General features: G+C 49.9%; 1 pseudogene; it reads left to right on the plus strand.

Moving 5' to 3' along the window:
- Positions 4,539-8,727, plus strand: ABCD1P4 (ATP binding cassette subfamily D member 1 pseudogene 4; annotated as a pseudogene).

Consider the following 12,808-nt stretch of genomic DNA (forward strand, 5'->3'; position numbering starts at 1 on the left):
TCACTCTGTTTCTCTTTCTCCCTTTCTCTTTTTTCTTTTCTTTCAATTTTCTCAATTACTAAGAGATGTTTAAATACCCTTACCATGTGAGTTGATATGGTTATTTCTCCTTTAATTCTCTTTTGAGATTTATAGTCACTCTAAGTAAAGAGATAACCCAAACATAAGCCTCACAAACAGGCTTCCATACCATTCTTAATTTGGTCCTGTAATTCTTCATTGCTGTATTAACTTTCTGATGCTTTTAAGGATGTTTTATAACAAATTGTTTAGTTTTTTCCACTGGAATGTTTATTCTGAATTATCTAATTCATATTGTAAGTATAGAGGGAGTTTAATATAAAATTATTAAACTGATATTTGTGAAAGAATGTATTTGTGCATTTAACAAATATGTTAAACCTCAGACTGTTATTGGGCAGCTGAGCATACAGCAATAAAAATAACATAATTTTTATGTGTACAATATTTATGGAATACGTTACTGGAACAAATAAATAATTTAGTTAATAACATGACAAAGAACAGAAATTGTATAGACTATAGAGCATAGTAATGGAATAATGAATGATTAAAGTTATTAATATTAGGTAGAAAATGAAGGGTATCTTTGAGAGCAGAACTCAAGGAAGCAAGCAATTTGCCTTATGTGGAAAGAGTTACCTGTGGATAAAGGAGAAACTGAAAAATTTACAAGTCAAGACTTTTTGAGCAAAAACAAAAATATGACTATTAGTCACCAATTCAGTACAGTGAAAAAAAAGTAGAAGAGATATCTTGGAAGTAAACCATGTTGTGGAAGAGCATGTAGGGTTTTGATAATCATGGGATTATTCTGAATTAATTTTAAATGCGATAGGAATATATGAGATAATTTCACCAGAGAATAACATGATTGTGTTTGCATTTCAAAGGGGTGTATCTGGTGCACTGTGTAGAATAAATAGGTTATGTGAGCAAATAAATTGGGAGGCTACTGTAATCCAGAGAAAACAGGTAGTGACTTAGGTGAGAATACTGTGAGGATGAGTGGTAGTAGTGGTGAGAAGTCGTTAGGCCATGGATGTATTTCATAGGACTATCCAAGAGAACTGCAGCTGAATTGGAGTGTAGGGAGTGAAATGGAGAACTCAAAGATGACTCTCAGCACTGGAAGGTGACAGCTGTCACTGAAGCATGCTGATGCCTCTCATTAAGAGAGTTACTTGGGAATGGCAAGATCAAAACTTCTCACTTTCAAATTTATGAAAAATATTGTTTTCAGAACGAATGACTTTGGGATCAGAAAGCCACCATTCTAATTGATGGTTCCACGACTACACGGGCTCACACTCCCAAGAGCAAAAGTAAATCATCACAAAGGTGCTTCCTGATAATTCTAGAGAATGGAGAATTACTGTAACATCTTTCTGATCTTAGGAGAGGTAGCAGTTCCCTTTTTAGCCTAAATGCTATATTTTTTAAAGCTCAGCCAAGAGACTCCATTATAATTTTCAAATGTGTGTAACTTAAATTCTCATATGAAATACCACTATGCTTAAATTAGTCAAAACATTTTCCCCATCTACAACTCTATCTTGTCATCGCAATCATTTTCACAAAAGTGACTGCAGCTCACAGACCCTAAAAGGAGAAAAACCAGGGTAGGTTATCTGATCTAGTTAGTTTCGAAGACAGGATCTAGAGATTATTTAATATGAAATAGGTCACCTGAAATGTTTACTGAAAACAGCTTGGATCAGCCCAGTTTTCTACCACTGAACCATGCATTTGGTTTAAAAAACACAATTCTGGGGAATATCGGCTGCTTCCAACTGTGTTGAAGGTGTTAAAGAAAAGAGCATAAAATTAAAAATGATCATCTGAGGCCTTTATAGTCTCTGCTCAAGAGACTAGAGTCTTCCATTCTTAACGAAACACCCAAATATCTTAATAATTGGGCAAAATCTAAATATCAGAGATAATTTTATCTTGAAGATTGTTAAATTATAATGGTGATTCACTACCTTGCCACGTCTCTGAGTCAAAAATTAGGTCTTTGTTTAAGAATCAATGGTGCTCTGCAACTTGGAAATAGGAAGATTTTAGAAGACTCAAACACTGACTTTCTTGTGTGCAAAAAAAGACGTATTGAGATAAGACAAGTCTTTCCTTGCAAGGATACCTCTAATGCTCATACACCACCTCCCCTAACGTTAATATAGCTTCCAGGTCACTAACCAGTGTCAGAGAGCAGCCCATGCAACTACAAATTCAAAAGATGTCGAACACAGGGTCAAGCCTAGAATAAGAAGTCTTAGCTAATTAAGTATGCTTTTTTCCCCAAATTCATATTAACAAAACTTGGATATGTCAGAGAATGCATTCTAAGTTCACTCAACCTAGGAGGGAGAAACATAATTTTAAATTAAGAGCTGAATTATTCTTGTCCTATCAGAAAGCAAGGAAAACGAAATATCACACCACAGGAGGGATTTCACAAATTAGTGTCAACATCAAAACCTTAAAACAGTCAAGGAGAATGCAGATTCACAATGAACTCTTGTACTTGTTTTGTTCAGAGAAGAGATGGTTCTGAGAGAATGACAGTGAACTAACCCCAGCTGGTTTAGTTGGTGCTTTCAAATGCTGCTTCTGATAAACTCCTTTAGCTAGAATAAATTGATGAGGATTTTGGCATGCGGTATTAGAGATGGTTATTAATTTTGTCCTCTTATTTGCATTGTTCAATATAGTAAATACTAGCTGTATACGGCTACTTCAATTCAAATTAATTACAATGAAATATACTTAAATATTGAATTTTTTAGTCACTGTTGGTTCATTATTGAATACGTTCAGCTAAGATTTCCCATCTAAATACACTAAAAGGTGGCTTAGTTAAATGGTCGTCCACAAATATTGAAGCTGTTGTTAACTCCTGATATATTCTCTGCGAAGAGAATATTCACGAGCCTCCTCCTGAAATCAGCAGCCTAGAGATAGTTTTATAAATTGGATACAAGTTGGAAATCTATACTCTTTAAGTTTTTGAAATATTAGCTTCCCAGGGAAGAAAATCAAATTCATAAGATATGTTAGAACAATTTAACTCAAGACGTTCAAAACTGAAATGACATATTCTACAATATGTGATAAAACCACCCCCTAACAACTTAAAGCAAAACAGGGATTGACCTTAAAGACCTGCCTTTTCCTCATCCACCAGCCTATCAGTTTTCAAATCTTGCATTTTATTTTGAAAGGTCATTATCCCCCTAGTCTCTTGTTTCTAGACTTGGCACATATTTAAGTTTATTACCTCTATCTACTGACTTTTCTCTTTTCAAACAGTATCTATGCCTGCCAAATGTGAACATACAAAAAACAAATCAGAATGTGCCATTCTGATTTAAACTGCTTATTAGTTAATACCCTCAAGATAACATCTGGGTTCTTAGCTGCAATGAGTCAAGCCTACTTACATCTTTTTTTGTGTTTGGCTGCACATTTCCTATCACATCACACTCCAGCAATGCCAAGCTGTGCCGGCCTTCTACCCCATCTCCACTATTTTGCCCTCCGCCGCCGCGGCTTTTTGCCTGCCCCGGCTTTTTGCTCCGCCGCCGCCGCGGCTTTTTGCCCCCCACCCCCGCCGCCGCGGCTTTTTACCCGCCGCGGCTTTTTGCCCCCCCGCCGCCGTGGTTTTTTCCCCCCATCTCACCTCCGCTTTTTGCCCGCCGCGGCTTTTTGCCCCCACCCCGCCTCGGCTTTTTGCCAGCCACGGCTTTTTGCCCCCCGCCACCGCGGCTTTTTGTCCCCCGCCGCCGCGACTTTTTGCCTGCCGCGGCTTTTTACCCCCTGCCGCCGTGGCTTTTTGCCCCCACCCCGCCTCGGCTTTTTGCCCCCACCCCGCCTCGGCTTTTTGCCCGCCTCGGCTTTTGGCCCCCCGCCGCCGCTGCTTTTTGTCCCCCGCCGACGCGACTTTTTGCTGGCCGCGGCTTTTTACCCCCCGCCGCGGCTTTTTGCCCCCCACCACGCCGCGGCTTTTTACAACCCCCCCACCCCCCGCTCCCGCGGCTTTTTGCGTCCCCGCCACCTCCGCTTTTTGCCCCTCCGCCGCCGCGGCTTTTTGTCGCCGCGGATTTTTGCACACCCGCCGCCGTGGCTTTTTGCGCCCCCGCCGCTGCGGCTTTTTGGCCGCCCCAGGTTTTTGCCACCCCGCCGCTGCGGCTTTTTCCCCGCGGTGGCTTTTTACCCCCTGCCCCCGCGGCTTTTTACCCGCCTCGGCTGTTTGCCCCCACCCCGCCTCGGCTTTTTGCCCGACACGGCTTTTTGCACCCCCCCCTCCTTTGCAACCTTAATTTCACTTGAAATCTAATTTCCCACTGCCAAGCCACCTAACATATTTGTATGTTAGACTCTGGGAATTAGGACATGAACATTTTTCGGGGGCCATTATTTTGTCTACAGCAGACAGAATCTACACTGCCTGGGAGGCGCAGAGTGTCCTGGGGGAGGCAGGGCCGGCCCTTCCCTCCATGGACACCCAGCTTTCCCACAGGCCCTACATGTCTGTGGGTTCCCTGCATGACCAGGTGATCTACCCGGACTCAGTGGAGGACATGCGAAGGAACGGCTACTCGGAGCAGGACCTGGAAGCCATCCTGGACATCGTGCACCCGCACCACACCCTGCAGCGGGAGGGAGGTAGGAGGCCTGGGGCTGGCAGCCGCCCTTTGTCCCACCCTGGCCTCTCCCTTGGCCTCCAGGGAGTGAAGATTATCTCAACATCCAGGAGTCTAAAGTGCCAGGTGCCACAGGGGCAGGGCAGAGGGTGCTACCTCTGAGGCCCGCCTACCAGGGAGGACCAACACCACACAGATGGCCCCAGGTGGCATGGGTGCTCTAGGGAAGGGGGCACCTAGCAGGGATGTGCACCTCATTGGGGGACCCAGGATACCCTCTCCCAGAGAAAAGGGGTCTGAGCTGAGCCCTGCAGAATGCTGAGTGGTTACCCCGTCCAGGAGCCAGGGGCAGCAGGGCAGAGTGCGGCCTGCAGGCTTGGAGGTGTGAGAGGCTGGCTCACAGAGGGCCCTCTGGACCAGGCGGGAGCCTAGGCTTTCCCTGAGCGGGATCAGACGCTCTTGGAAGGACCGTGGGGTGGTGGGCAGGGGCAGCCTGGGAGGAGCAGACACATGTGTGCAGTGATGGCTACTGTCAGGAGGTCTGTGCAGATGCTTGGAGGGGGCTGGGGCCAGCAGAGTCGGGTGGATTCAGAGATGAGTTCACTGAAAAGGAGGCCAGACTGAGCTGTTTTCTTGTCCTGGGCTTATCAAGGAATACTGCGTGTCCACAGTGTCTGTCGGGCCGGGAGAGCTGAGGAGGAGAGGGGGGTGCAGCTACAGGGACACAGTAGACGGAGCGTTCAGTTCTGTCTTTGAATTCTGAGCCTCTGGGTTCTGCTTCCAGCCCCCACTGCTGGGTGCGAGATGGCCCTGGGCAAGGACCTCGCCTTGCTGGGGCTCCCCTTCATGGTTCAAGGGCATGGGCACCCAAGCCCTCCCTCGGTGGCAACATGAGAAGAAGTGGCTCCTGCAGGAAATGACCAGGGTGTTGTCACCTGCCTGTGGAGGAAGCGGGAACGCAGGTGGCGATGGTGGTGGAGCAGCCGCTGGCCTGGCCCTGCCTCTTGCTCCTGCTGCCCTCGGCCTGGGAGCACATGGCCCCTCCCGCCTCTGTGGCAGCCTGAATGCCCAGGGCCTGTGGCTGGCCAGCTTGAGCCGTTAGGATGGAGTTGAGCTGCAAGGAACAGAACCGGCCTCCCCGCAGTAGTGGCTAAGATCATCTGTGAGTTTATCCTACTGAGCTGTTAGGTCCCAAGAGAGCCAGGCCACAGTTGCCAGGGCTGGCCCTGCTCTGTGAAGGCCCCAAGTCTCTAGGATTTTCTACCATGTCACTCTGCTGTGTGTGGCCTCCATTCCCAAAGTCACCTCATGATCCAGGAGGGCTGCTACAGCCCTCACATCACGTCCCAGGCTGTAGAATGGAGGAAGTAGAAGGGAAGGGGCAAAAGGTATGTGCCTTCTATCTTTTAAGGAAGTTTCCAGAAGCCACCATATTGAATACTTACAGTTATATCTCATTGGCCACAACTTAGTCTCATGCTCACACCTCACCACAAGACCACCTGGGAAGCATAATCTCTACTCTGGGTGGCCATATACCCTGTCGCCACTTCCAGCCCTGGGCCGCTGGGGAAGGCAGCATGGGCGAGAAGACAGGAGGGGCCACTTCTGCCGCAGCGCCCCGGCCCAATGGAGCAGCCGGCTCACCTGCTTGTTCAAGCAGCCCACTCGAGCCTTGCCAAAGTGCTGGCACGGGGCAGTGACAGGAGGCCCAACCCCTGTGGGTGACAAGCCCCCGGTCTGGGGAGATCACTCAGGCCGCTCTGGAGCTCTGTGCCAAGGAACTGTATGGGTGTCCTGGGGCTGCCATAAACCGCAGGGGTGGATCATCTCCTGGGTCCAGCAGTCCTAGATCCTGGTACCAGCAGGTTGGGTTCCTTCCGGGTGCCATGACAGAAGTATGTGTTCCAGGCCTCTGTCCTCGGCTCGCAGATGGTCCACTTCTCCCTGTATATCTTCACCTCGTGTTCCCCTGTGCACGTCCTCTACCCGCACACCCCCTTTTTATGAGGACACATTCATATTGAATTAGGGTCCGCTCTGATGACCTCATCTTAGTGTGATCACCTCTGCGAAGGCCCTGTCTCCAAATAAGGTCACACTGAAGTGTTGGGGCTTGGACTCCACCATGTCTCTTCTGGGGGAAGGCACGATTCCAGTCCCCACTCCTCCATGATTAATGCCTGTCAGACAAGGACGCAGAGGCACAGGGGCCCTGTCCTCACAGCTAGCTCATTCCCGCAGCTCCCCCAGCTCCCCGGCTGGCCCCCAGGTCTGGGTACTGGTGGAACTGAGCCAAGACCATTGCCCCTGCCTAGGTTGGGAGGCTATGTGTGACTGGAAGGACGTCCTGCCGGGTGGCAAGAAGCAGAGAATCGGCATGGCCTGCATGTTCTACCACAGGTGAGCACTCCAGGCTGGCAGGCTCCCTGGGGTCCCCTGGAAGGAGAAGTAGCAGCTGTGGGGAGGCCTGGGCTCAGTGGAGCCTGAGCCGGGTTGGGGTGTTGGGCCCTGGAGGGTGCACAGACTCTCCTCTCGGCCCGGACCCCCAGGCCCAAGTACACCCTCCTGGATGAATGCACCAGTGCCATGAGCATCGACGTGGAAGGCAAGATCTTCCAGGCGGCCAAGGACGCAGGCATTGCCCTGCTCTCCATCACCCACCGGCCCTCCCTGTGGTAGGTGCCCTGTCTCCCTTCCTGGGGTGAGTGGGAGTGGCTGCCTGAGGGGAGGAGGTGGCCTGTTGGGCCAGGCGGCAGCAGCAGGCGGCTGTCATCAGCAGCCCTCGTGCCGTGCCCCTGACCCTGTCCCTCTCCTGGCCAGGGAGTACCACACACACTTGCTACAGTTCGATGGGGAGGGCGGCTGGAAGTTCGAGAAGCTGGACTCAGCGGCCAGCCTGAGTCTGACAGAGGAGAAACAGCGGCTGGAGCAGCAGCTGGCAGGCATTCCCAAGATGCAGCGGCACCTCCAGGAGCTCTGCCAAATCCTGGGCGAGGCCGTGGCCCCAGCGCATGTGCCGGCACCTAGCCCGCAAGGCCCTGGTGGCCTCCAGGGTGCCTCCACCTGACGCCACCCTCCCCAGCCCCTGCCCCGCCCCCAAGCTCGAATCACATGAAGGAGACGGCAGTGCCCACCTGCGCACGCACCCCGCCCCTGCATGCCAGGCCCCTCGTCCTAGAAGACCCTTCCCGACCTCGGGAAAGTAGATGTGGAGGGTGGCGCCCTGCGTAACCCTCACCCTGTCCCTCCCACTCCCTGGGGGGTCTGTTCCACAGTGACTGGGCCCAGTCCAGGGCAGTGAGTCCTCTACTTTGCTCCGTGGAGGAAGCTGGGGTACAAGGGCCCAGTGCTGGCCACGCAGCAGCGCAGCCGAGCCCCAGGAGCCCCTCAGGCCACAGCCCCTGACACAGCAGGTGGCCTCCCTCCTCGTCAGTCTCTCAAAGACCCCACGGTCCATCTCCTGAGGGTGGCCAGCCAAGGCTCCCATCCCATGCGATGCCATAAAAGCCGCCCAGTGGTACCCATGGTCACACAGAGCGCCTCACCTGCATCCTCTCCCCCACAGAAGCCCCGAAGATCCCACGGGAGAGGGACGCACAGCACTGCCTGCAGAGTGAGAATGTAGGCCCCGCCCCCTCGGCCCCTCACCTCCTCTTTCTACAGCCTAATTTATTGGATTCCCTATTCGTAGCCATCTCCGTGGCCAATGTGACTACCCTGCCAGCAGCAGGGGCGGCCCAGCCTCTGAGTCCCCTGGGGCCCCGGCTCCCACTGGTGCCAAACCCAGCCCCTGTGGCCGTCACCCCGCCAGCCTACACTGTCAGCCGCCACCTGGCCACACGGACCTCTGCTTGCTAGCTGGGAGTGCGGACACCATGTTCCCAGCTCAGTGCCAAACAGGGGTCACCAGGGGGAGCTGTCTGCAGAGCCAGCGCCTGCCCGAGAGAGAGCGCCTACCCACCGCCACCGTGTGCCTTTCCCGGGCCCTCAGCCCTCAGGCCGGGTGCCATCCCGAGTCCCCCCAGTAAAAGCCTCCATTGGCAAATGCAGTCCTTCCTCCCTGCCTCAGAGTCTGGTGGTGTCTGCTGCGGGTCTTAGGGAGAGATGGAGGAGAGGGAGTGGGTTGCCTGTGGGGGAAAGAGTGAGTTTGGGAAAGGAGTGGGCCTGACCCCCAAGCCCCTCCGTGGGGGAAAGTCACCAGAAGACATGGTCCAACATGCCCTCCACCGAGCATCACGCCAATGCTCTTAGGATTCCTGTGATGGTGGCGGGGCAGAACCTGCAACAACATTGCACAGAAATAATGGCTGAGCCCAAATAGGACTAGGGGAGGGGATCATGCTGGTCCCTGTGGGAGAAGCACGAAGGCAAGAGAAGGGATGTCTAAGCTGCCACACAGGGTGCTGCTGGCCCTTCTAGGGAGAGGAGGCCACTTGTGCAGGGGCCTGGGGGGGGAACTGGGAGCACAGTGCAGGGTGTTCGTGCTGCATGCAGGGGAAGGGAGGGCAGGGGAAGGGAGGGCTGCGGCTGGTGGGCCTTGGAGGACACACTACAGAGACAGGACTTAGCCCAGAGTCCACCGAGGAGCTTTCGACAACAGGGAAGCAGTGTCGAGTACTGCAGGCCACGTGGCTGCATGTGAGGGTGGCTGGTGGGAATAGAGTGCAGCAGCCCATCTGGCCTCAGAGGCATGAGAACTGAGAACAGCTGTGCGGCCATACCTTTATGCATGGATGGCCATAGCCTCCCAAAGGTGGGACAGCCTGAGTGTTCATCAACAGACAAATGGACAAACAGCCTGTCCATAAGGCACAGTGCCATTCCACCATAACACGACAGATAGACCTCAAAGAGTTCATGCTGGGTGAAAGAAGCCAGACACAAATGTCCAGAATAGGCTCATCAGGACAGAAAGCAGATGAGTGGGTGTCAGGGGCTGGGGCAGGGGAAGGAAAATGGGGCAGGAGCAGTCCTTTTCAAAACATTTTCTATTTATTTTTTATTTTTTAATGAGACAGACTGGGTCTCACCCTGTCACCCAGGCTGGAGTGCAGTGGTGCATTCATAACTCACTGCAGCCTTGATCTCCCGGGCTCAAGCAATCCTGCCCCAGCCTCCTGAGTAGCTGGAACCACAGGCGTGTGCCACCATACCCTGCTAATTTTGTGATTTTTTTTTTTTTTTTTGTAGACAGGATCTCACTATGTTGCCCAGGCTGGTCTCAAACTGCTGAGCTCAAGCGATCGTCCTGCCTCAGCCTCCCACAGTGCTGGATTACAGGCATGAGCCACCACACCCAGCCTCGGGTTTCTTTTTATTTCGAAGAAAATGTTCTGGAACTATAGAGCATACTAAATGCCACTGAATTGTGCACTTTAAAGGGATTGATTGTATATTTTGTGAATATCACCTCGAAAACAGACAGATAGATGATTGATGGATAAATTGATACATAGATATATAGATATATAGACATGATGTAGATAATTGATAGATGATGGATGATTCATAGGTGCTAAGTGATAGATAAAATACATGATAGATACATGGATAGATAGATGAATAGAGAGAGATGATAGATGATTTAAAAATTTTTTTTAGAGATGAGATCTCACTATCTTGCCCAGTCTGGACTTGATCTGCTAGCATCAAGCAGTCCTCCTGCCTCAGCCTCCTGAGTTACTGGGACTACAGGCACATGCTACTGTGCCTGGTGATAGATAAATTATTGAAAGATAAACATGATAGAGGCATAAATGATAGATAGATGGATAGACATGATAAAGGGTAGATAGGAAGATACATGGGATAGATCAATGATTGATTATAGAAGTAAATTATATAGATTAACAGATTATTGATTATAGATTAATAGGTGGATAGCTGATTGATAGATGATTGATCGATTGATTGGTTGACTGATTGATGGAGAGAGACAGAGAAGCAAGCATAGCCATTGCAGCCACCCAGACAAGACATGCTGAGGCCTGGAGTTCCAGAAGGTTCGAGCAGTTGGAAGAACTTGACAGGCATGGGGGCAGCTTCTTCAGGGAGTGGAGGGGGCAGCAAGGTACCACTGAGTTCTGGTTGGAAGGTTAGGTGAGCGACAGCACCCTTGGTGGACAGAGGCAGCTCCAAAGGGGGGGAAGGCCTGGGGAGCAGGTGCAGCCCGAGGGGATGGTGCGTAGGCAGTTTGTTCAGAGCTTGGGGCTCCTCAGTGGGACATGGGTCAGCAGGGAGGCCAGTGGTCATTGAAGCTTGGATGGAGACAGCCTGGCTGAGGGGAGGGGCATGCTTGGCATCTCATTTAGGGGACAGGAGGTAGACTGTTTACCTGTATTTTGAGATTACGATTTATTCCTGATCCCAGGAGGTGGCCGATTCGGAGGGCTGGGAGTTGTTCCTCCATTTCTTTTGATGATTGTGTAAGTCACCCATGCTTGATCATAAACCCCTTTTGTTTATTTTTGACACATAGCTGGAATGGCTCTAATTACTACAGATAGAAGGAGACACATCTGGCAAAGACCATCCAAAAGGAAGCTAGTGGAGAGAAGCTCATATCGCACAAAGTAGGCTCCAGGGCAAAATCATTATTAGGATTAAAAGTGGTTGCAGCATACTGATGAGTATTCATTCCAAAGCATTAACTGGTGGGGGAGGGGTGGGGGAAAAAGGATAAATACATAAATAATTTAATTATTTTCAAAGAAGTATTAGCGGCCAGGCATGGTGGCTCACGCCTGTAATCCCAGCATTTTGGGAGGCCAAGGCAGGCAGATCACCTGAGGTCAGGAGTTCGAGACCAGCCTGAACAACATGGTGAAACCCCATCTCTACTGCAGTACAAAATTAGCCAGGCCTGGTGGCCCATGCCTGTAGTCCCAGCTACTAGAGAGGCTGAGGCAGAACTGCTTCAACCTGGGAGGCGAAGTTTGCAGTGAGCCAAGGTCAAGCCATTGCACTCCAGCCTGGGCGACAGGGAAAAAAAGAAAAAAAAAAAAAAAGAAGCATTAGCCATTCTGATCTTGTGTGCACCTGCATAATGATAGAGCCTCAAATGACTACAAAACAAAAAAGTGTCAAGAAAAGGAAAAATTAATAAATGAGCAAATTCTCCACGCAGGAAATTATACTACTTCTCACTGGAACTGCTGGTTTAAGCAGGCTCAATTAGGAAGAATATAGAAAAATTGGGCCAGGCATAGTGTTTCATGCTTGTAATCCCAACACTTTGGGAGGCGAAAGCAGGCAGATTACTTGAGGTCAGGAGTTTGAGACCAGCTTGGCCAACATGCTGAAAATAAAATAAAAAATACAAAAATGAGCCAGATGTGGTGGCTCATGCCTGTAATCCCAGCTACTCGGGTGGCTAAGGCAGGAGAATCACTTGAACTTGAGGTTTCAGTGAGCTGAGATCATGCCCCTGCACTCCAGCCTGGGCAACAGAGTGAGACTCTGTCAAAAAATAAAAATAAAAAAAAGAATATGGAAAAGTTGAACAAACTTGATTTAGTGGGCACCCAAAAACTACAGACCACACATTGTTTTCAAGTTCACCTTGGACATTTACTAACACTCACCATGTCCTAGGCTGCAAAACAAGACTCAACAAATAGCAAAAGAACTTGCATCACACCAGCCATGTTCTTGATGCAACAGAATAAAGGCATAAATTGGCAACCAAACTAAAATTAAGGGCTCCCCTATGTTTGGAAATTTAAAGATACACTACTGGCCAGGCACGGTGGCTCACACCTATAATCCCAGAGTTTTGGGAGGCCAAGGTAGGAGGATCCCTTGAGCCCAGGAGTTCAAGACCAGCCTGGGCAACATAGTGAGACCCCCCATCTCTATAAAACTAAATTAAATTATTTTTTAAATTAAAAAAATAAAAAATAATGCACTGGTCCGAGAAGAATTAGAATGAAAATCTAAAAGCATTTAGAACCGAACAATGAAAACTATGTACAAAAGCTTAAGCCATGTAGCCCAAGCAGTACTGCAAGGAAATTTTTTTAAAAAAAAGTGTGGCCAGACGCAGTGGCTCACGCATGTATTCCCAGCACCTCGGGAGGCCAAGGCGAGCGGATCAACTGAGGTCAGGAGTTAGAGACCATCCTGGCCAACATGAAGAA

This window comes from Homo sapiens, chromosome 22 (genome assembly GCF_000001405.40).
Source record: "Homo sapiens chromosome 22, GRCh38.p14 Primary Assembly".
Taxonomy (NCBI): Eukaryota; Metazoa; Chordata; class Mammalia; order Primates; family Hominidae; genus Homo; species Homo sapiens.